Source organism: Homo sapiens, chromosome 3, assembly GCF_000001405.40.
Source record: "Homo sapiens chromosome 3, GRCh38.p14 Primary Assembly".
Taxonomy (NCBI): domain Eukaryota; kingdom Metazoa; phylum Chordata; class Mammalia; order Primates; family Hominidae; genus Homo; species Homo sapiens.
The window spans coordinates 42078235-42102347 of NC_000003.12; the positions used below are offsets into that span (position 1 = coordinate 42078235).

General features: G+C 45.7%; 1 protein-coding gene across 24 annotated transcripts in view, besides 2 other annotated features; it reads left to right on the forward strand.

Moving 5' to 3' along the window:
• Positions 1 to 24113, forward strand: part of TRAK1 (trafficking kinesin protein 1) — a 212798-nt gene that overhangs the window by 65142 nt on the left and 123543 nt on the right. For 11 of the 24 annotated variants that reach the window (XM_024453400.2, XM_024453402.2, XM_024453403.2 and 8 more), the window contains exons 1-2: positions 12947 to 12976; positions 13212 to 13326. In XM_024453400.2, the coding sequence (XP_024309168.1) occupies positions 13236 to 13326 (91 nt within the window). In that variant the 5' untranslated portion in view covers positions 12947 to 12976; positions 13212 to 13235. Of the gene's footprint in view, positions 1 to 8264; positions 8434 to 8869; positions 9167 to 12946; positions 12977 to 13122; positions 13327 to 15018; positions 15193 to 24113 lie in introns of those variants that run through there. The other 13 variants (XM_047447718.1, XM_017005909.2, XM_047447722.1 and 10 more) reach the window with 6 other exon arrangements.
• Positions 16752 to 17051: an enhancer, noted in NCBI's record as "active region_19733". NCBI's record gives its function as "activates an Ori minimal core promoter by ATAC-STARR-seq in GM12878 lymphoblastoid cells {active_cell/tissue: GM12878}" and the evidence as "EXISTENCE:reporter gene assay evidence [ECO:0000049][PMID:35858748]".
• Positions 19882 to 20704: an enhancer, noted in NCBI's record as "H3K27ac-H3K4me1 hESC enhancer chr3:42139608-42140430 (GRCh37/hg19 assembly coordinates)". NCBI's record gives its function as "activates a minimal SCP1, AML or CMV promoter by ChIP-STARR-seq in naive and primed H9 embryonic stem cells {active_cell/tissue: H9 hESC(naive and primed)}" and the evidence as "EXISTENCE:reporter gene assay evidence [ECO:0000049][PMID:30033119]".

Here is a 24113-nt window from a genome sequence, read left to right on the forward strand (position 1 = left end):
CCTGTGGGAGGCAAATCTAAACTCATCCCCTCAAGATTTCTACCCACTAGTTATTCAGTCAAGCACGGATCTAGATACTTCTGTAAAGGGACTGTGCCGTGCAGATGGAATTAGAACTATTAATCCCTTGACCTTAAGATAGGGAGATTGTCCTGGATGATCTAAGTGGGCACCGTGTTTTGAGCCTGTAAAAACAGAAAAGGAAGGCAGAAGAGGAGGTTAGAAAGATGAGGCAGAGGCCAGGCACGGTGGCTTATGCCTGTAATCCCAGCACTTTGGGAGGCTGAGGCAGGCGGATCATGAGGTCAGGAGATCGAGACCATCCTGGCTAACACAGTGAAACCCCATCTCTACTAAAAATACAAAAAATTAGCCGGGTGTGGTGGCGGGTGCCTGTAGTCCCAGCTACTCGGGAGCCTGAGGCAGGAGAATGGTGTGAACCTGGGAGGCGGAGCTTGCAGTGAGCCAAGATCAGGCCCCTGCACTCCAGCCTGGGAGACAGAGGGAGATTCCATCTCAAAAAAAAAAAAAAAAAAAAGAAAGAAAGAAAGAAAGAAAGATGAGGCAGAAGGGGAAGTCATGGAATTCCAAGTGTGAAAAGGATTCCATATGCTGTCATTGGCTCTGGAATGTGGGTGGGAGCCACTTGCAAAATCTGGAGAGAAGCCTCCAGGAGCTCATGGAAAGCATAAGGAACACAGGAACAAAGGCTAGTGCCCAGCTGACGGCCAGCAGGAAACAGGGACTTCAGTCCTACAACCACAAGGAACTGAATTAGACCGGCAACCTGAATAAGTGTGGATATCAGTTCTTTCCCAGAGCCCCCAGTAATGGACTCACACCTGTGACACCTTGATTGGAGCCTGTTGAGATGCATGCTGGATTTCCAATATATGGAACTGTGATCGGATAAATGGCTATTATTTCAAGCCACTCAATTTGTGGTAATTTGTTACAGTAGTAATAGAACACTGACATAATCCCGGAGAACAATTAGTCCCTTTTTGAAAACTTTTGCCATACTTGGACCTGCTTGTTTAGAATTGCTGAGTAAAATCCCTTGGTATATCAGATGCCTCTGCCCAGAAAGAGGAAACCTTGAAAGCTCAGGTACCTGGCTGGCCATGGAGGGGATCACCCAGGACTAGCTTCTCCTTGTCACCTTTTGGGCTTCAACCTGGTGCTCTGGTTCTCATTTTCTCCTTACAATCTCTGAGTTTGTCGTGAAGGAAGCTCCTTCTTCTTTTTTTTTTTTTTTTGTTTTGAGATAGAGTCTTGCTGTCTTGCCCAGGCTGGAGTACAATGGTGCAGTCTCGGCTTACTGCAACCTCTGCCTTCGGGTTCAAGCAATTCTCCTGCCTCAACCTCCCGAGTAGCTGGGACTACAGGCGCTCACCACCATGCCTGGCAATTTTTTTGTATCTTTAGTAGAGATGGGGTTTTGCCATGTAGGTCAGGCTGGTCTCAAACTCCTGACCTCAGGTGATCCGCCCTCCTCGGCCTCCTAAAGTGCTAGGATTACAGGCGTGAGCCACTGCGCCCTGCTGGAAGCTCCTTTTTTTTTGTTGTTTTTTTAACCCCTTGCAAAATCAGTGATTTATTGTTTACAAAGGGCAGCTCTGTCTGCTCGTGATCTCCTACTGGAAGTTACCTGTGTGTGGGTGAGAATAGTTTCACAATCATTGCACCAGGGAGTGGAGAAGGACTTACCAGGGTGCACAAATCCTTCTGCATTTCCACCTGCCCTCTTTTGTACTTCCTGGAGTGGTATAGCTGGAAGGCAGTGTGTTGAAGGTTGCTCGATCCCTTCCTTGTCCAGATGAGGGGTCTGAGGCCCAGGGACATAACACAGTTTCCTCAGTGTCACACAGCTTTGAGTTTTAGTTAAGGTTCTGAGTCACAGAAATGACATCGGTTGAGGGTAGCGGGGAGAAAATATTAGGAACTTGCACACGTGTATTTTGTCAGCAAATTTGAGTTCAGTAGCAAACTGGCATAACGTTGAACAACCGTGCGTTAAGTACTCTTGACAAACTGGGGGCCGGAATTGTTGATCATTGAGTTGAGAAGAGTGGGGCAGGGGACCTGGGCCACCCACCCCAGGCTCAGCTTCCATGTATACTTTATCCTACTACTATTCCTGGCACCTCTTTTGCTGAAAAATTGACCTGGTTGCAGAATTTCTCACTCCTCTGCTAAGAAAAATCCTGCCTTCCTGCAGCTCTCTAGGCAGAATTCAGTAAACTAAACAGAGGCGCTTTCATCTCTCAGGGCCATGCCATCCACTCTCACTTTTCTTAAGCCTTGTTTGTTTCCTCTGCCTGAAAGAAGCCTTTTGCCTGGTGTGCCAGGGTTTGCTGGAGCCAGAGAACATCCAGGGCAGTGGATGCTTTGTTCCTGAGCCCCTGTGAAACCTCAGAAATGCCTGTTTACATTAGAGTGAAGTTAGGCTGGCACCTTGGGGAAAGATTGTCACCTTTGCCCTACAAATTCCTGGGTGTCCCCAGAGGGCACATGCTGTGACTCATTCTTCAAGCTAGAAAGTGGGTGGAGGCCTTACAAACCAGCTTTTGAGTAGTCTGTAAATGAGGTCTCCTGATCCTTGAATTGTATCTGGGTCATTTTACATGTTTGACTATTAAACTACTCTTTTTTTTTGAGATAGGATCTCACTGTGTCACCCAGGCTGGGGTGGAGTGGCACAATCATGGCTCTCTACAGCCTCAACTTCCTGGGTTCAGGTGGTCCTCCCACCTCAACCTCCCTAGTAGCAGGGACCACAGACACATGCCACCAATCCTGGTCAATTTTTTGTATTTTTTTGTAGAGTTAGGGTTCCACCATGTTGCCCAGGCTGCTCTTGAACTCCTGGGCTCAGGCCATCCACCCGCCTGGGCCTCCCAAAGTGCTAGGATTATGGTGTGAGCCACTGGGCCTGGCCACTGTGAGCCACATTTGATGTATATTGGTCTGTGTTGAAAATGAAGTAAGGTTAAACTCGAGCCAGCCTAGAGAGCCCATGGGCTGTGGTCTGCATACTTGGAACACTTAGGAGTCCCTCAGGTGGTTTTCATTGATTTCTGTTAGTCCTCAAGGTTAGCAGTGTGAAATTTGGGAGTTTAGACCCTTTGGTTCCAGTATAAATGATAGAACCTGGGCTTTAAAGCTTCAGGGGATCCTCAGAGTCATTTGCACCAAACCCCTTCTTTCATTTGTTGTTATTTATTCTACAGACATTTACTTAGTACCTAATATGTGCCAACACCGGTCCATGCTTTCAAGGAGCACACAATTTTTTGGGGGAGATCAGCCCTGGACAAATGGTGGTCAATGGACAATGCATGAAGCTTGTGTCTGAGATAGAGAGGCATTCCCCAAAATGTACTCCATGAAACAAATGCCATGTAGATAGGTATGTGGAGAAAGGATCCATAGTAAAGTAGGTTTGGAAATGCTGGCATATGAATACTATAGTAGAACCAAGAAAGGTGCCAGATTCTGAGAATCTGGAAATTATAATGTTAATGACAGTAATTATTTTGAGAATCTAATTTGTACTAGACACAGAGGTAAGTGCCTTATATGGATAAGTGCCTTACATTTTACAGAATTCAGTAGTTTGGATGTGCCATAATTTATAACTGTTTTTCTACGAATAGAAATTTGGTTGTTTTCCACTTGAATTTACTGGGTGAAAGCTTAGTTTTGTCATTTCAAGAGGGGCCTCTCAGGCTTCTGAATAGCTTTGCCAGTTGCTGTACATGTAAAATGTTCTTTGGATTTCAGAACTGTGGCTTGTGTTTCCCTTTTGAGTCTTGAGTGAGGTGAGCATTTGCTGATGTCTCCAAATTTTGTTTTTTTCAGGAAGTGCTTATACTTAAAATATTTCTTTTGTAGCAGTATGTTTCTGGGTTAAGTGTCTGGCAGCTATAAATGGAAACATCGATACTAGGAGGAGAAACAGTAGTGATTTAGGGCTATTGATCATGATTTAGGCCATCTCCCTCATTTTATAGGTAGTGAAAGCGAAAGTTATATAAAGCTTGGTTGTAAAACCTCTTTAAGAAATCTTCACATATTAGGGCCAGGCCTGGCAGCTCACGCCTGTAATCCCAGCACCTTGGGAGGCTGAGGTGGGTGGATCACTTGAGGCCAGGAGTTTGAGACCAGCCTGGCCAACATGGTGAAACCCCGTCTTTATCAAAAATAAAAAATTAGCCTAGCGTAGTGGTGCGTGCCTGTAGTCTCAGCTACTTGGGAGACTGAGGCAGAATTGCTTGAACCTAGGAGGCCAAGGCTTCAGTGAGCCGAGATCGCGCCACTGCACTCCAGCCTGGGAGACAGAGCACAAAACCTGTCTCAAAAAACAAACAAACAAACAAACAAAAACCAGAGAAATCTTTACATATTAGAGCCTTTGTTAAAAAAAAAAACACAAAAAACCAAAATCATATTGATTTAAATGAAACTGTCTTAGTTTTCAGAAGAACAATTGCATTTTGCAAAGTGAGAAAGTATTTCCAACTTCTGTGTATGGATCAGATAGAATATGTCTAAGTACAAGTTAAAGAAGGCTTGAATGAGGGTTCAATTTGTTAATGCATTTTAAAACCTTTTCAAGACCACATTCATCATCTACTGTTTTTCTGCCTACAGCATCTTTCTATGTTGATACATTAATATCTGTTGTGATGCTTCCTCTTGGCTTGGTTGACTTGTTGATAGCTGTCGCATAATTAATGACTCGATCCTCTGTTGTGGCTTGTTAGGTTGTAGCATTTCACTGTGCCATACATCTTTGACCTATATATACTTGAGCCCGAGAGCTACAGTAAATTTTGTCAGGCTGTTCTTCCAAATGTATACTCCTCGCCTTATTCCAGTAATACATAAGACTATAAGTTTCCTAAATCACTTGTGAACTTGAGCATCGTTATATTTTTTAAATCTTTGTTGTTGTTTTTTTAAAATCACTGTGAAGTTTCCTTAAACTGGGTGTGTATGTGTGTTGTGTTTTGGCAGGGGGAGGGAATTTTTATATCCTTTGCCCATTTTTCTTTTGGGCTATCTGCTTTAGGTCTGTGAATGAAGTGCATTATTTACATGTTGATTTTAAGTGTTCCCGGTTTAATTTCCCTGCCAGTTTTACTTTACCATGTCTTCCTCACCTTTTGAGTTCTTTATGGTGACCTGTGTTAGTGAGAGCCCATGAGGTGTCATCAGCAGACTTGGATCCCCTCAGGACCATCAGGGTCTTTGAGTTTCTAAATATCTGCCAATTGTTTTTGTGTATAACAGTAGCTTAATTGGGTATAGAAGTCTTATGTGACTATCTTTCACTTAAATTTCTGAGGAACTGGCTGGGTGCTGTGGCTCACACCTTTAATCCCAGCACTTTGGGAGGCCAAGGCAGGTGGATCACTTGAGTCCAGTAGTTCCATACCAGCATGGGCAACATGGTGAAACCTCATCTCTACTAAAAATACAAAAATTAGCCGGGTATGGTGGTGTGCGCCTGTAGTCTCAGCTACAGGCTAAGGTGGGAGGATCACCTGAGCCCGGGAGGTCAAGGCTGCGGTGAGCTGTGATTGTGCCACTGCACTCCAGCCTGGGTGATGGGAATGAGACCCTGTCTTTAAAAAAATAAATAAATAAAATAAATAAAATAAATAAATAAATTCTGAGGAATTATCCTACTGGTACGGCATGTAGAGATGTGGGGATACCTTTTTAATGTTTGTCAGATTTTTATCTAAATCTTTGGAATTTAAAATTTTTACTAGATTATATCCAAGAGTTTATTATTAGTTTTTCATTGATTTTGTCTGGGTCTTGGTGTAGAACCTTTTGATTTAAAGGTGTAAGTCTTCACCTCTAGAAAATCATTTTAAAATTAATGTTTTTATATACTTTACTCTTTTTGTCTTAAGCTTTTTTTGTTTTTTTCTGGAACTCTCATCAGTGTGCCTTTTTATCTTCTTGCTTTAGGGATGACTTCTCAAGCTAATTTATAGACTCGGTATCTGCATTCACTAATCTTTTCATCACTTAATTGAAATAGACATACAAAGAAAGTGTATGAGAGCTGGGCTTGGTGGTGTGCACCTGTAATCCCAGCTACTTGGGAGGCTCAGGCAGGAGGATCACTTAAACCCAGGAGACCAACCTGGGTAACATAGTAAGACTCCATATTTTTAAAAAAGTGTAAAAATAGTGTGTGAATTGTAAAGAGTACAGCTTGATGGAGTTTCATGCACTGATTCTAGTCAGCAAGTCAGTCTCCAGACCAAGAATCACAACTTGCCCAGCATGGAGAAGCCCCCTTGGGCCCCACTGGGGGTGGGTTGTGGCAGTGCCCAGCTTCCCTTGGCTTCAGCCGGTGAATTCCCATCCTGGACCCTTGACCATCATTGGTGACTCTTGGGGGTCTTCTAGTTCATCCTGCTCAGCCCTCTGCTGTCTAGAATGTTCTGGGTTCTTCTTGAGGATTATAGGCTTTTCTAGTGAGGCAGCTTATCCATTCATCTGTATTTGAGTCACTGACTAGGCGTGACAATCCCGTTTTCTTTTTTTTTTTTTTCCTTATGCCAATCCAGTTTTATCTACATGTTGTTTTGCAGAAATTCCTAAAGGTTCCAAGCTTCTCTTGTTAACTTTCTTTTCTCACCAGGGATATACAGACTCTCCTACCCATCCTTCCCATTTTCATATTTATTTTTTCATGTTAATGAGGGCAGGAAGTTTATTGCCTGGGCTGAGTTCATTTATACAGGCTGAGTATGTCTAATGTGAAAATCTGAAATTTGAAACTTTTCGAGTGTTTACATGACACTCAAAGGAAATGCTCATTGGAGCATTTCAGATTTCAGATTTTTGGATTTTGGACATTCATTTGGTAAGTATAAGGCAAATATCCCCAAATCTGAAAAAAAATCATTTTTTTTTCTTTTGGAGGCAGAGTCTTGCTCTGTTGCCCAGGCTGGAGTGCAGTGGCATGATCTTGGCTCACTGCAAGCCCCGCCTCCCAGTTTCAAGTGATTCTCCTGCCTCAGCCTCCTGAGTGGCTGGGTTTACAGGCATGCGCCACGATGCCCAGCTACTTTTTATATTTTTTAGCAGAGATGGGGTTTCACCATGTTGTCCAGGCTGGCCTCAAACTCCTGACCTCAAGTGATCTGCCCGCCTTGGCCTCCCAAAGTGCTGGGATTACAGATGTGAGCCACTGTGCCCAGTCAAAAATCCAAAATTTGAAACTCTTCTGTTCCCAAGCATTTCAGCTAAGGGATACTCCGCCTGTAATAGGAATTCCTGGTGTATTTTGGTAAATAAACCTGTTGGGAAAAAGGTCACAGATTCAGGGCTGTAGTTTTCTTTCAGAACTGACTCTACCATGTTGGGGGAAATGTCTATTAACTTTCTCTTTTTGTGTGTATGTGTTTTTTAAACAAACGATAATGCATCATTTATTAGAGCAGTGGTTCTCACACTTTTTTTGTGGGTGTGGTCTCAGGACGCCTCAAAGTTATTGAGCCTCCTAAAGCATTTTTATTTAAATGATTCTGTTGATTCATATGTATTGTAATAGAAATTGAAACATAAGATGTAAAACCACACGGATATGAAAGTTCCATTAATTAGCTTTCAGAGCAGTGGCATCATCACACATAATGTAGTCTCTGGAAAATTCCACTGTACATCCATGAAAGAGTGAGAGCGAGAGTGTCTGACTTTGTAGACCCTCTGAACTAGTCTCAGGAAACTCCAGGGATTCTCAGACCACACTTTGAGATCTCTTGTGCTGAGGAATGTTTTGTAGGTTTCCTTTTTCATTAAGCTCCTGTTTGACGTTTTGTGTGTACACATGTGATGTGTGTGCAGGTGCGCTGGGAGTTGAGGCAGCGGCACTCCTGAAATGTGTGGGAAATCGCCTGCATGTAGGTGTGCTGTTGCCGGCGCAGAGCGGAGTGTTCAGCAGCCTATGTCACATGCCATCTTTTCTCAGAAGTTATCTTTCATCCTAGTCAGATTTTAAATGAGGGTGAGTCTGTAGTTTTCATCAGATTCTTCTTTTTCTTTCTTTTTTTTTTTTTGAGATGAGTCTCACTCTGTTGCCCAGACTGGAGCCCAGTGGCATGATCTCAGCTCACTGCAACCTCTGCCTCCCCGGTTCAAGCAATTCTCCTGCCTCAACCTCCTGAGTAACTGGGATTACAGGTGCCCGCTACCATACCTGACTAATTTTTTTTTTGTTTGTGTATTTTTAGTGGAGATGGGGTTTCACCATATTGGCCAGGCTGGTCTTGAACTCCTGACCTCAAATGAGCCGCCCACCTCGGCCTCTCAAGGTGCTGGGATTACAGGAGTGAGTCACCGTGTCCAGCCATTTTCATCAGGTTCTTAAAGGAGTCCCCTAATTTCTCACTGTAGCTTAAGGTAGGGGCATACCTTAAAGTTCTTAGAGAGTTGAGAAGTTATTGTGGTTGAAAGAGTTTAAGAGAAACATATCTTATGTAATTCCATATACAAATAAAAATGTTACCTCTCTTTGTGTGTATAAATCCTGTAGGAATACAGGTTTTAGCTGTGCTCCAGTGTGTTTCTTTGCTTAGAGCTGCTTCAAGGCAGGTTTCAGTAAGCAAATGAAGCCATGTGCTCCACATTTTGGTCAATATTGATTAGTTGAATGGAACTTTGCTGCAGTTATTTTATTGAAACTAAGCAATGTGATTGGAGATGCCTTGACTTGAGAGAAACGCGTTTCAGAATTCGCAGTCTGAACGCACGTCATCCCGGGGCCCTCATTTTCTAAAGATTGTCCAGGTTTATCGATAGACTCTAACTGTGCCCCTCTCTTTCAATTGTCCCATAGATTCCCTATAAGGAGCCCCTGCTGGTGCACCAGAACTACCGGGGGCCATCTGCCCAACTGCCCCAGACTCTGGCAGTGGGGCCCCCGATGGCAGTGGGCACCTCCCCGTGAAACCTGCCAAGCTGGACGCCACAGCTCTGCACGACGACACTTTGGCCAACTCCGTGCCCCCTTCGGAGGCATGCAACCATGCAGTCCTAGCCTGCAGCCTGGGCATCCCTGAGGAACACTACATAAGCGAGGCTGTGGAAGATGCTCCCAGCTACAGAGGGTACCGGGATGCCTGCACCATTACTGGTATGGGGGCCCTTTCCCTGCCAGGGAGGAAGGGAGGGAGGTTTCAGTCACTGAGGACTAGGGAAGGAATGCAGCCACATGGGAGGGTCTTGGGGAGGTATGTGGAGAGGAACCACCAAAGTGCAAAAGACTCTGAGCTTTCGGATTGTGAGACCTCCAATCCAGAACCTGTTCTGCCAGTGAACCATTTTGTAACTTGTGTCAGTTGTTGACCTACTATCCTGACTGAGAGGTAGACAGCATTTCACTAAATTGTCATGAAGGTTAAAGATGGTAACATCCAAACCTGAGCAGCAAGCATGGCCCATCACAGGCACTCAGTGTATTGAACCCTTCCTTCTCTCTTTGCACTCAGCTTCTTCAGATATAAGACAGGTGTAGTGGGAATAACATGCACTGTCATTGTGGGATGCAAAAACAGAAAACTACATGGAGTGCCCTTTGTACACCATCAGGATTTGCACAGACATGGATTTTTACAGATACCTGTGTCAGTCATAACTCTCAGTGTCCCAGGTGGTAATCACCTAACATCTGTGCGGGCACTTAGTAGTAGAGCTATTGCTTTTTTATTTTCCCCAAGGAAGCATTGAGACAAGTGCTTGAAGCTAGCACAAGAGAGGGCTCTCAATGGAAATGGTGTAGGATGGTGTGCATAACAGCAGCAAGTGGCAAAATTATAGCTCAATCCAGTTGCATTCATATAGAAGTTTGCTTAATTTCTCATTTTTGTCTGCAGTGTTTGCTTTTGTTTGTCTGTTTGAAGTAATGCCTGATGACAGCTTAATATATGCAAGTTGGCTTCCAGTAGCTTCTCTTGGTTCTGTGTTACCAGTTAAGCCTTGAGGACCTCCTGTGTGTCAGGGGTTTCCTGGATACAGAAAGGCACAGAGAAAGCCGGGGGTCCCAGCCTGGTGCCTAGCTGCTGTGCTAGGCCCCCACACACCTCCTCTCCCTTTTTGTTAAGTGGCCCACATGTGTTGTCCTCCGCTTGTGACTGAGTCCCTCTCCCACTTGCCTGCCCCCTGAAGGACACAGTTCCAACATCTCCCTTTTCTCTACTGCATCATTCTTTTCCCCTTGCACTTGGGTCTTTCTTATTAGTGCAGAAACATGCTATGATCTCCCTCTTCGGAAATAGAATCCTTCTCAGTCCCGTGTTTCCCGCAGGCCAGTGTCTCTGCTCTTCTGTTTGCTTACTCTAGTTTTTCTTTTGTTCTCTCTGGAGTCCACTGCAGGCAGGCTCATGCCCCACCACACTGACAGCCTGGTTCAGTCCAGGGGTCTGTCCTCTGCCTTCACCTTACTTCACTTTTCAGTGGTAGTTCACACTGTTGCCAAGTCCTGTGTCCTGGAAGTACAGTCTTTACTTGGCTTCTGGGTCCCCACACTCTCCCTGTTCTTCTGCCTCAGTGGCTGCGTTTCTTCTTCTCCCAAGCCTGGGAACGTTGAAGGGCCCGGGGCCCAGCCTTTCCGCCTCTTTGCTCTTATGTGTGCACCTGTGCAGCACTTGATCTCACCCAGCACACAGGTTTTAAAATCGCCTTCTGTACTGGCCACTCGGTGGTTTCTGTACTCAGCCTGGCCCTTCCTCCTTAAGGCCAGATGTCTCAGACTGACTCCACATGAGTTTCCACTTAGATGTCTAACAGGCATGTCAAACTCAAATGACCAAAAATGAGCTCCTGGTTTCCACCTGCACCTGCTTTTCTTAGGGTTTTCCCCATCCTTGTAAATGGTGCTTTCATTATTCTAGTTGCTCAGGCCAAGAACCTTGGAGGCATTTGTGATTCTGCCTTTCTGCGATTCATACCCCAGTTTGTCAAGAATTCTGTTGGCTGTATCTTCAGAGTATGTTCAGAATCTACCCAGCATTTACTGTGTCCCAGCCACCCCCATCTCACACCTGGATGACCGCACTGGCCTTCCAGTGGGGCCTCTTACTGCTACCCTTGCCTCCCTAAAATTCTTTCTCCGCTCAACCATGAGAGTTGGCTTTTAATACAATCAGATGGTTTAACTCTCCTCCAAACTTCCAGTGAGCTCCCCTTCTATAGAGACCTGTAAGGAAGGGGCTGAATGACAGGAATCCCTCTTTGCCCCGCTGACCTGCCTCCTCTGTGCCCTCCGTGCTCCAGGTACACTGGCCGCCTCACTTAACCTTGAACTCACCAGGCACATCCAGCCTCAGGGTCTTTGGATTGCCTTAACTCCAGATATCCTTATGACCCCCTCTTCCTTCTCCAAGTGACATTTTATTTGATGCTTTTTGTGACCCCCCCCCAATACAGAGTGATCTGCCTCACCTTTCCCCATCTCCCTTTCCTGTTTAATTTTTTCCCCCAAACTTAACCATCTGCTGAACTACTGTATTTGTGTTTTGTCTCCCAAACTTGCAGTAGACTAAAGTCGCGGAGGGCAAACTCTGTGTCTACTTTGCACACTCCTGAATCCAGTGACTAACGTAGTGCCTGCCTGTGGCCAGCGCTCAGTGAACATTTGTTGGGTGTATCAATTGTGTCAATTTGTGCAGTGAGTACTATTATCCTCTTTGTGTAAGTGAAGAGTCTAAATCTCGAAAGGTTCAGCACCTTGGTGAAACTCCTGAGTGGCAGGAGTTGCATCCAGGTCTGTAGGACCCCAGGGCAAGGGTTCTTTGCTGCCTAAGAATTTAGTCTAGTTGGGGAGACAGATGAGTGAGTAGAAATTGGCTGTACACCGAGGTTAGCACAATGATAAGCACAGCACAGTAGGGCACCAAGGAGGGTGCCAGGCTGAACCTTGGAGGGGAAAGGACAGGAGAAGACCACGAGGGCTTTGTGGAGGAGGCGATGACCCAACCGCATCTACATTTGTCCAAACACATGAATTGATCCTTGGGATTCTAGTGGCATCTGTACCAGTGAAATCCAGGAAGCATCCAGCCTGTTAAAGTGCTTTCACTTTCTTTGAATGTGACAGTGGAGGGTAAAGAAATGGCAGAATGTACCGCTGAAACTTCACAGCTGGGCGTGGTGGCTCACGCCTATGATCCCAGCACTTTGGGAGGCCGAGGCGGGCAGATCACCTGAGGTCAGGAGTTCAAGACCAGCCTGGCCAACATGGTGAAACCCCGTCTCTACTAAAAATATAAAAACTAGCCAGGCATGGTGACGGACGCCTGTAATCTCAGCTACTTGGGAGGCTGAGGCAGAATTGCTTGAACCTAGGAGATGGAGGTTGCAGTGAGCTGACACAGTGCTACTGTACTCTAGCCTTGGCGACAGAGTGAGACTCTCTCAAAAAAACAAAACGAAACAGCAACAACAAAAAACACAACAAAGAAGTGGCAGAATGTAGTGCTGAAACTTCAAACCCTATAGGATGTGGTGACTTGGGGGTTCTTTGTTGGGACCAGAGGAAAGCTGAGAAACAGCTCGGTGCTGTTGTGTTTAGCACTGGCTTGGTAAACAGGAGAGTAAACACAGACACTCTTATGCGTTTAAGGGATGGGCTGTCAGGTGATGGAGAACATGCTCGGATTAAAGTTTTATTAGGCAGTCATTGAAAGGAAGACATTAAATGGAAAAAAGTTCTCCGAGAGACCTAGACTATCCCCAAGAATGCATCTGTGGCCTCCCAGGGCTTTGCCAAGTGCAGTCTCAGGACACTGCTTGGCATTCAGCCCTTGATAAATTCACTCCTCCCCCAGTTCCCAGCAAGCCCTGAGATGAACAGCAGACTTTTTGTTCCACTTTAATTTTTAGGCAAAACCGAATGCCCATCACAAAGCCCCGTTCTCCTTGCTACTCCCCTTCCCCCAACCTAGAGGTATCACATTTTTGGGTGCGTCATTTTCTGTTTGGGGTGGCTTAACAAGATGAGCTGATAGGGTTCCCAGGCTGCCTGGAGTTACATAACCCATTGTGCTTCCAGGACAGCTCACAATCTTAGGATTTGCCCTAACAAGCAAACTCAGAAAACTGCTGAGGAAGGCACGGGAGGGTGGCTGTGCGAGGTACTGCCGGGGCTGAGCTCTCATGGAGGCTCTCTCTGTTCTCTGAAGTGCCTTTGGAGTTTATGTCTGCACATGGCATTGGTTTTTCAATTCGGGCAGCCCGTCAGGGCTCAGCCTCTGCCAGGACTCTGCCACGGCAAGCTCATTCGGACAAACGCCTGTGGTAAGTTTGTTTGCCAGGTCTGTCTGCTGTCTGTTTTCTTTGTGGTGTGGTCGGAAAGGAGAAAAGACCACAGGAGAAGCTGTCTCTCTCTTGCTCCGTGCTGCTTGGGAGGTTGTTCATGGTCATGTGGTAGAGAAATTGCCATGTTGAATGATAGGCAGAGCAAAGGGACTTCAGAGACACAACTACTGCCCTCACCACCCCCCCATCTCCCGTTCCCAGGTCCCCTTGTCCCCTTGCCCAGGCTCAGTAGGTGCAAGTGACACTTGCAGGGCATGAGCACAGGGCTGAGTTGAGCCCAGACCCCCTGCACTGCCACTCCCTTTCCCTTCACAGTTCTCTGCAGTGGGTGGACAGGGTTTCTAAGGCCTCCTCCGCCTCTCCAGCTCTGATTTCTCTAATCCTATGTCTTGTCTTTATCCTGATTTCTTAGATGCTAACCTGGTATCTTGGGTCAGCAAGGAGTTTTTCAGAAGGTGAAGGACAGAGTTAGACTGTCTCCCTCCCTCTCTCCCGTTTCCCTCTCTTCCACCCTCCCTTTCTTTTTTGTCCTTTACTAAATGCTTGGGCCTGGGACTCGGATCCACACCCCAGTGATGGAGGGCTTGCTAATCAGATCTGCTGTGGCTTGTGTCTCTTGCTGTGGGGCTGACACCTCTCACTTCCTCTAAGCTGGTCAGAGTCCAGTGGTTGATGACCCATCTGGTTTCTGTCCTGTCTACACGCTGCTTCCTGAGAGCTGTCTGGGCCAGAAAACAGTTAATTCCTGAGAGAAGTGAGCTCCTGTTCCATTCCAGTCAGTTTTAGGCTTTAAAACATGTAAATCTTATTGAATAAGCCTAAAGACACTTCAAACATGCATCTTACTGAGGCAATCGTACTTATTTTTGTGTGTTGAAGCAGCGTGCACCCAGGGCCAGGTTTTTACTGGGGTTTATGTTAATTCCTGGGGTCAGAGAGAGGACTGGTCCTGCCCTCAGAGCACAGAGGTGGGCCAGGGTGTAAAGGAGAAGCTGTAAACCGAGTGAGAATTGCCTAGGAAAAATCTGCTAACAGGAGTAGCCCTGCCTGGGAGGACTCTTCATCAAAGGGCCATGGCTTAGAATTTGTTCCTTTTATTTTGTTGTGTTGTGTTGTGTTGTGTTGTGTTGTGTTATGTTATGTTATGTTATGTTATGTTATGTTATGTTATGTTATGTTATGTTATGTTATTTCGTGACTCACTGTATTGCCCAGGCTGGTTTTGAATTCCTGGGCTCAAGTGATCCCCCTGCCTCGGCCTCCCAAAGTGCTGGGATTACAGGCGTGAGCCACCATGCCTGACCCAGGATCTTTTCCTTTTCTATCACTGATTTAAGCCATAAAACTTGATGTCTTATCCTCTGAAAACATGCTCAAATAAAACATTATGGAATTCTTACACATCTTATTAATTAAATTTAAGGCCTTGTCAATTTCTCTCTAGTATAATTTTTATTTGTGTTTTCTATTGAAAATTTATAATCTAAATGGGTCTTTTATTTGGCTATATTAATGAAACAGAAAAGAATGGACAGTGAAATATATATCCCTTTTACAACAGAGTGAGAAAATGTAAATTACAATGTAGGGAATAACACATATTTTCTAAATGTGTAATTTAGAAGTTTTTTTTTTTCTCCTTCTCTTAGTGGAATCTCCTTTATTTCACAGTTGATTTGTTTTTGCAGATGGAATGCAGAAAGGGGCCCTGTTATGCTAATTTCTAGAGAGAGCATTTGATCTTTGCAAAACCACAGAAACATTCACCTCTGCCTTTTAAATATGCTATAAATGATTTGGGGGCCACCAGCTAATCTTCCTACCCTTCAGTTCCCTTATGACTAGGTGAGTAGGTAGAATATTTATCACAAGGTTTTTGACATAAATTGTGAAATTTATTTAAAATGTCATTTGTAAGTTTTTTTCCATGTGATTTTGGGGCCATAGTTCTCAAGTATTTGATATATTTTTATCTTCTCCTAACTGGTTTTAGTTCTGCACTTGAAACAAATTTTTTTCTCTCCTGTCCTCTTTTCTCTCCCCTCTCTTCTCTCTTCTCTTTTTTCTCCCCTTCCCTTCCCTTCCCTCCCCTCCCCTCCCCTCCCCTCCCCTCCCCTCCCCTCCCCTTCCTTTTTTTTTTTACAGAGTCTCACTTCTATCACCCAGGCTGGAGTGCAGTGGCATGATCTTGGCTCACTACAACCTCCACCTCCCAGGTTCAAGCAGTTCTCATCCCTCAACCTCCTGAATAGCTGGGATTACAGGCATGCGCCACCACGCCCAGCTATTTTTTTGTATTTTTAGTAGAGACAGGGTTTTGCCATGTTGCCCAGGCTGATCCCAAACTCCTGAGCTCAGGCAGTCCGCCTGCCTAGGCCTCCCAGAGTACTAGGATTACAGGCGTGAGCCGCCGTGCCTGGCCGAAACAAGCTTTTCATGTATATAATGTATCAATCTTTGTTCACCCCAAACTATTTTTGGAAGCTGGCAAATAATAAATTATAATAGGAAAAAAAAATGGCAGTTTTTGGCAGAGTGGCCAGGTATGGGCCTCGGCACCTTCCTGCTCAGCCAAGGTCTGTTGTAGGAACGTTGACTGGGAGTGACTGAGAGGATTCAGGGTGCACCAATGCCAGGCTCAGGCTGAGCAGCTGGGTTGGTGTGTGAGTCTGGGACTCATGGCCCCAGGGGGAACTTTGGAGTCAGAAACTTCTCTGTTTTCACTGAGCCCTGATCTCTCATAAACACTGAAAAACTTGAGCAAGTCAGGCTGAAACTATCAGGAGCTGAAACTTTATTTTACTTTTAGAGTCAGAGTCTCACTCTGTCACATAGGCTGGAGTGCAGTGGTGCAGTGCAGTCATGGTGTATTGCAATCTTGAACTCCTGGGCTCAAGTGACTCTCCCACGTCCACCTCCCAAGTAGCTGCGACTATGGGCTGGAGCCACCGTGCCTGGCTATTTTTTTTTGGTAGCAGTGGGATCTTGCTGTGTTGACCAGGCTGGTCTTGAACTTCTGGCCTCAAGTGATCCTACCACCTTAGCTTTCCAAAGTGTTGGAATTATAGGTATGAGCCCCAGTGCCCGGCAAAGGTGTAACTTTATAACTAGATCTGGAAGAAATATAATGTTATAAATCCTGTTCTAGGTTTCTCTAGAGAAACAGAGCCAATAGGAGAAACATATATCGAAATGTATTACAAGGAATTGTGTTACTTGATGGTGGAGGCTGACAAGTCCAAGATGTGCAGTTGGCAAGCTGGAGGCCTGGGAGACCCAATGGTATAGTTGCAGTCCAAAGGCTTGACAGGATTGAGGCCCGGGAACTGGTGTTCCAGTCCTGAAGACCCTGGGGGTGGGTCAGCCTGTTTGCTCTATTCAGACCCCAGCTGACTGGATGAGGTCCACTTCACTCACAGTAAGGAGGCATCTGTTTTACTCAGCCTGCTTATTCATGTTCATCTCACCCAGAAACACTACCACAGACACATTCAGAATCATTCTTGACCAAATTTCTGGCCACCCCATGGCCCAGTCAAGGAGACACATATTATACAGTTAGCCTTCACAGATCCTAATGGTGCTGCCATTTACTGAGGAGTAGCTCTGTGCCTGGCAGGTTTCCAAGTGTGGCTCCTGGAACTCATGTTGTCCTCAGCACAGCTCTGAGGTGGGTACTGTTACCACCTTCACGTTTGAGGAGGCACAGAGTAGGCAGCTTAACCTCTTGTATAAAATAGGGATCCTTGAGGTTTAGACCCGGCAGCATTGTTTTCTGACCCTCTTTAAGTTACTGTTCTTCATTTTTTTTCTGTTTTACTAATTTCATTTACTGTTAAATGGGGTTTTAAATTATGAAAATAACACATGCACGTGGTAAAACTTGAAAGTGTACCAAAATATAGTCAGTGCAGAGCAGCTCTCACTCTACCATCAGTGCAGTTTAATGGGTAAAAAAATCATTCCAAGAAGTTTTTATGCACATATTCATTTTCTAAAAAACACAGATGGGACCATATCCTATTCCTTGATCTGCATTGTAAGATGATTAACCATATTACTTAAAATGAATTCACATACTATTACCTTATTCTTTAAAATAGCGACATGATATCCCATTGTTTGGCTTTATCATCGTCATCATCATCATCATCATCATCATCATCAGTCATTTAATTAAACCAGGCTGTGGTCTGAATATTTGTCTCCCCAAAATGAGTATGTTGAAACCTAATCAGCAGTGCAATGGTATCAGGTGGTGGAGCCTCTGGGAGGTGGTTAGGTCACAGGGGCAGAGCCCTGATGAGTGGATTAGTGGCCTTATAAAAGAGGTTTTGGAGAGCTAGCTAGCCTGTTCTACCCTGTGAGGACAGAGTGAGAAGGTGCCATCCGTGAACCAGGAACCAAGCCCTTACCAGACATTTGGTGGTGCCTTTATCTTGGACTTGTCAGTCCCCAAAGCTGGGAGAAATAAATGTTTGTTGTTGACAAGCCACCAGTTTATGGTATTTTGCTCTAGCAGCCTGAACAGGCTAGGAAAACTCAGCAGCTCTCAGTCCTGGAATACCTAATATTTCTTTTTAGAAGAAGCATTTTGTAATTCATTTTTTTGTTACCCTTAAATGAAATTCATAGATAACGAATCCTCTTAAAAACATAATTTTATTTATTTTATTTCTATCTTTTTTTGAGATGGAGTCTTGCTCTGTTGCTCAGGCTGGAGTGTAGTAGTGTGATCTCAGCTCACTGCAACCTCTGCCTCCCGGGTTCAAGTGATTCTCCTGCCTCAGCCTCCTGAGTAGCTGGGACTATAGATGTGTGCCACTACACTCGGCTAGTTTTTTGTGTTTTTAGTAGAGATGGGGATTCGCCATGTTGGCCAGGCTGGTCTCGAACTCGTGTCCTCAAGTGATCTGCCCGCCTCGACCTCCCAAAGTGCTGGGATTACAGGCGTGAGCCACCGCGCATGGCCAAACACATAATTTTAAAAGAATCAGTATAATGCCTTACCGTACTATAAAGGAGAAACTAAAGAAAAATGACATAGCTTGTATTTCAAATGTCGCTGAGGGGACGTGGCCTCATTAGAACACATAATGAGCAATTAGGCCCTGCCCCTGCAGGTAGAATTGCTGTGAAGGGGGCAGCCACAAAGGCAGTGAAGCATGCTGGCTACTCAAGGGTCCAAGACAGAACCACTGCAGCAGCCCCCATTGATGGGTGCTGTAAGTTGTTTTCAGTTCTTGCATTTTAAATGGTGCCTCAAGCACCATTCCTACTCACTCTTAGAAGCATTGGCTTAAACAGTGTGCAACAAGAAAAATGCATACAGTTTAAAGAATACACTTTGAGGTTTTCCACCTTCATCTTATTCCCAGACCTCTGCCTTTCCTCCCAAGGGAATGACTGTTGCTTATCTTTCCAAAAATGTTCTGTGCATGCGTTTGTATGGTATGTATGTCCCCTCCCCTGCTTTGAAAGCTTTCTACACACGGGAACATATACTAAACATATTGTTGCCTTTTCTCCTCAGTAATCTATATTGGAGACCTTTCCACTTAGCATACATCCATCATATTCTTTTTGCTGGCTGCCTATTTTTCATTGTCTATAAATCCCACGATTGATTTAATTAATTCCCTATTGTAAGACAAGTAGATTGTTTCCAGTATTCTGCAAATACCACTGGGTTGGGGATAGCCATGTTCCCACATATTTAAACAAATAAGTAATGAATGTACTTGTGTGAATTCCTAGGCTGGGGACTGTAATTTGATGGAGTGAGTCATAGAGGTTGTATATGGTGTGTGTTCAGACGATGTGGGAGAAGTGTGTGGGCGCTCACTGTCTGCACCCCTGGTATGAGCACATTTGCTCTTTGCCAGCTGAGGTGTATAAACGGCAGCAGCCCCTGATCTTGATTTACGTTCCTCAGTGTGTAGAGGCTGAGCATTTTCGGTATTTCCTGGAGGAATTTTTATTGTCTTTTCTGTGATCTGAGATAAATGCTTAACAGTTTCTACTTTTAGCTCATGGAGTGATTGCCTCCAAAATTCTAATTACTATTTATATCCTATTTTTATACTTTCCTTTCCATCCCTCATGTAGCACATCACTGCCTGGTAGGCTTGGATTTCGAATTCTGGATTTTGAATACCATGCGGCACCTGCTGGGCGTACCTGAACTTTATATCAAGGACTCACCACACAGTTTATGATTTGAGTTTTTAAATTTCCCAGACATCTGCCTTAGAAAACAGACCAAACACATACTGATAGGTTGGTCCATCAGAGTGTGCTCTGGGAAGGGTTGTGGAGGTCTCACCTTGTAAACTGCTGTGATACTGACAACTATGTGAACACCAGGGTCCAGTGATGTTTCTATTTCCGGAGGAGTATCTTGGAGGACCTTTAAGTTTTCCTTTCCTCCCTTCGTTTCATTTTTTTTCTTCTCACCCTCTTCTCTCCTCCATCTCTCCTTACCCACTTTCTGTCTGTTTCCTCTCCCCTCCCCTCCTCCTCACCCTGATATCTGTCCTTCCCCTTGCTGTCTCCTTTCTTCTCTTCCTCCATCCCCACTCCCCTCCTTTCTCTGCTTCTCTCCACCTCCTCTTCCTTGAAGAAACAATGGCTTTCTTTTTTTTTCTTTTTAATAATTATACAGCTGAGGTGGATCTAGGTTGGTGACGCCTTTAGAAGCTTTGCAGCATTCAGTAGAGCTTCTTAAGTACAGGCAGCAGGCACTTCACGGGTCGTACTGGGTTAATGTTCTTTTGTGCTTTTCCAGCACATGGAGGAAGGGAGGTTGGGCCTGTGGTCAACTGACCCTTTCCCAGTTGAGTCTGCAGGTTGTGAGTGTGCAGTAAGTCTTTTGAATTATTAGCTGGAGTTAAATGGGAAGGAAGAGGTGAGGATATCAATAACGTGAAGCAGGAAGGCTGAAGACCGTGAGTTCTGTGGAGGGAACCTGACCTGCGGGAGAGAGGGAGGGAGAAAGAGAACAGAGAGCTCCAGCCAGCTCACCCTTTGGGGTGACTGGAAGCTGCCTAGAAGGTGGTTTTGCCCTAATTTACAAATTTACTGCCCTTTTGAGGCCTTATCTGGTCCAGGCTCACTTCCTACTCTGCTACCTTCTATCATGGTGTTGGAAAAGAAGGAGCGCCTAGCAGGGTGGGCCTTTTGAGCATGGGAGTCCACAGTGTACCCCTTGGAGCCCAGTTGCAGGGAGAGCAAGATGGACAGGTGGTTTCATCCAGAATTGGGTTTTGCTGTATGGGTGCCGTGAAAGTCCCACGAGAGTGAGGGAGGCCGAGCCTTAGGCACCAGCGTTGCTGGAGCCAAAGGGCTGGGGGATTCCAGCTGGACAGGAAGTGGGCGGTAGAGGCCATGCAGAGGAATTGAGGGGCTGGGGGTCTCCATGGAATAGCGGGGATAACTGAGGGAGAGCTGTGGGGGAAGGGGGTTGCAGTCAGGGAGGGGGTATCTAAATTCCAGATTTCAGAGGTGGCCCGGGTGTGGCTGGCAGAAGTGGCATGTGATAGGAGGGCCGTGGAGGTCCCAGACTTGAGAGCTGGGGAGTCAGGTGGTGTCAGGTGTAGGGGTGGCAGTGGCAGCCTGGATGAGTGGCTGCACTCGGTGGAGAGGACGGCCGCCAACCTCTACCGGGGCGGAGTTGCTGATGGGTGGACGAGTGGGCATAGGCGGGGGTAACCCAGCTGGATGGCCTGAGTCTCAAGCGAGCAAGGATTTTTAAAGGCAAATGGGAGGAAATGAGAGGGGGAGGTGGCCCAAGGAGCCAGAGGATGCTGGCACCAACTCCAGACCTGAGTGCGGCAGCTCAGAGCAAGACCCTAATCTTGACCTTCCAGGAGGTTTAAACCCTAGTTTGATTTTGACCTAGATGATGGAACGTTTGCGTGGTACGAACTGAACCTTCTTAGTGGGAGAGATGGAAATGGTTGGAAAGACGATGGTGAGCTAAGCCTGTGGGCAGGGGCCCCTCCTTCAAACCCCAGCCACGCAGAGAGGGAGAGTCATGCTGAGGGGCTCTGACGTTCTTCTCTTAGTAGGAATTCTGTTCACTTTCCCAAACCAACATGTTCGGTTTCAGCTTATCTCATAAATATAATTATGCTCTTTTGTTCAGCTTTGAAAAATCCTGACCGTAGACCATTCAGGTTGTCATACCTTCAGGTTTGAACTCATTGCCCAGTGCTATTTTAACTGTTGTTTCTCCCTATTTATGTGAGTAGAAATGAGAAGGGGCAAAGCTGACTTTGTGACAGGGCCTGGAAGTTTTCTGTGCCCAGTGTCTCTTCCTTTGCCTTTAATTTGAATTCAGGCTGCCTGGGATGTGTGGTAAAGAATGGGCCTGTCCAGGTGAGGATGCAGCACCATCTAGTGGGCCAGAGATGCACTAGCAACAGGAGACAGGTTTTTGCAACTTTTGGAATGGATTGAAGGAAAGGGGAGTTAATCGTAGGCAGAGACTGCCAGGGTTAGGACCAGTGGCTCACACCTGTAATTCCAGCACTTTGGGAGGCCGAGGCAGGAGAATCGCTTCAGCCAAGGAATTTGAAGCCAGCCACTATGAAGGCAACATAGTGAGACTCCCATCTCTACAAAAAATACAAAGCTTAGCCAGTGTGGTGGTGCATGCCCTGTAGTCCCAGCTACTTGGGAGGCTGAGGTGGGAGGATCACTTGAGCCCAGGGTGTAGAGGCCACAGTGCGCCATGATTGTGCCACTGCACTCCAGCCTGGATGACAGAGCAAGAGACCTTGTCTTTCTTAAATAAAAAAATGGTGACAGGTGAGGCAGGTAACTTAGTTGTGTAGAAGAAAAGAAATCTTCTCCCATCTCATCTTTTCTCCTGCCTTGTTCCATCTACCTTTATTCTCTTCCCATCCACTCTGTTTACTGGAACTAATTCCAGAAGTAGTTTTTGTAAGGGACGGTGTCATTATAGCCAAGTGTGGCCATGTTTTTCTTGTGTAGACTCATGTAAGGAGATTCTGATGGGGGTGTAATTTCATTCCCATGTAGTGAACTTTATTCGAGCTGTCAGTGATTGTACTTTACAAGACTTTATTTATTTATTTTGAGACAGAGTTTTGTTCTTGTTGCCCAGGCTGGAGTGCAATGGCACAGTCTCGGTTCACTGCAACCTCTGTCTACTGGGTTCAAGTGATTCTCCTGCCTCAGCCTCCCCAGTAGCTGGGATTACAGGCACCTGCCACCACACCTGGCTAATTTTTTTGTATATTTAGTAGAGACAGGGTTTCACCATATTGGCCAGGCTGTCTCGAACTCCTGACCTCAGGTGATCCACCCGCCTCAGCCTCCCAAAGTGCTGGGATTACAGGCGTGAGCCACCACGCCTGGCCAACTTTACAGGACTTTAAATTAGCTGTGTGTTAGTCAAGTGTTGCTGTAGGAGTGCTAACAGCCTCCAAATCCTAGTGGTTCCTACAACATTTATTTCTTGCTCACAGACATGGGTCATCTGAGGATTGGCTTTGTTTGTCTCTTATTTGGGGATTTGGGCCACAAAGTTGGGACCTACCTAAGGACATGTTCTCCTCTGGGCAGAGGACAAGAGCTCAAGAGGACAGACCCAACCACGCCACACAGGCATGCTTAGAGCCTCCCACTGGACATGGAGTTATGCCGGCCACAGCGAATCATGTGGCCCAGCCTGAAGTCACAGAGTTGTGAAATATTTTGCCCATATTGGGCAAATAGTGAACCATAGCAAGAGTGATTCAGGAAGGATGCAGGAAGAATTGTGGACAAAGTGAACAGCTTAGAGTTTAGAATATTCTTAGGTGACAGGAGTGGCACTGAATGGCCGAGGTACATTAGTTGCTTTCAGGAAAGCCTCGTGGTGCCAGTCACCTCTGAATTATTGGCTTCTTCTATTAGCCCTGCTTGAGGAGGGGAAGGACATGACTCTTACGGCCTAGAGCAGGAGTTGGCAAACTCCTGTAAAGGGCCAGAGAGTAAATCTTTTAGGTTTGCAGGTCAGAAGGTCTCTGTCTCAACTGCTTGTCTCTGCTGTTGCAGCACATGAAGCAGCCATAGACATTCCCTAGAGGAATGGGTGTGGCTGTGTTTGGGAAACACTTTTCTTTATGAAAATAACAGAGGGCTGGGTTTCCCCTTAAGCCATAGTTTGCAGACTCCTGGCCTAGACCTTCAAGGAATGACCTCTGTCATGACACCAACTTAAGAGAGAACCACCTCTTTTTAGTTGGGAAGCCAAATAGTATTCAAAGAGCTGTTGGTGAGTCCAGCAATCCTCCACCTATTTACTCCGCGTTATTAAGCTGTAAACAGTCGTTTCAGGTCATTGAAAATCCCGGCAACCAAAGCTTATTGTTCTTAAGTATGAAATATCACGTACTTATTTATTTATTTTTTGAGATGGAGTCTCACTCTATCACCTAGGCTGGAGTGTAGTGATGCCATCTCAGCTCACTGCAACTTCCGCCTCCCAGGTTCAAGCGATTCTCCTGCCTCACCCTCCCGAGTAGCTGGGATTACAGGCGCACACCACCATGCCTGGCTAATTTTTGTATTTTTAGTAGAGACGGGGTTTTGCCATGTTGGCCAGGCTGGTCTCGAACTCCTGACCTCCAGTGATCCGCCTGCCTTGGCCTCCCAGGGTGCTGGGATTATAGGCGTAAGCCACCGCGCCCAGCCAAAATCTCATTTTACCTACCTTACCCTATCTTCAGAAGAAATGTCTGTTAAAGGTATTAGAA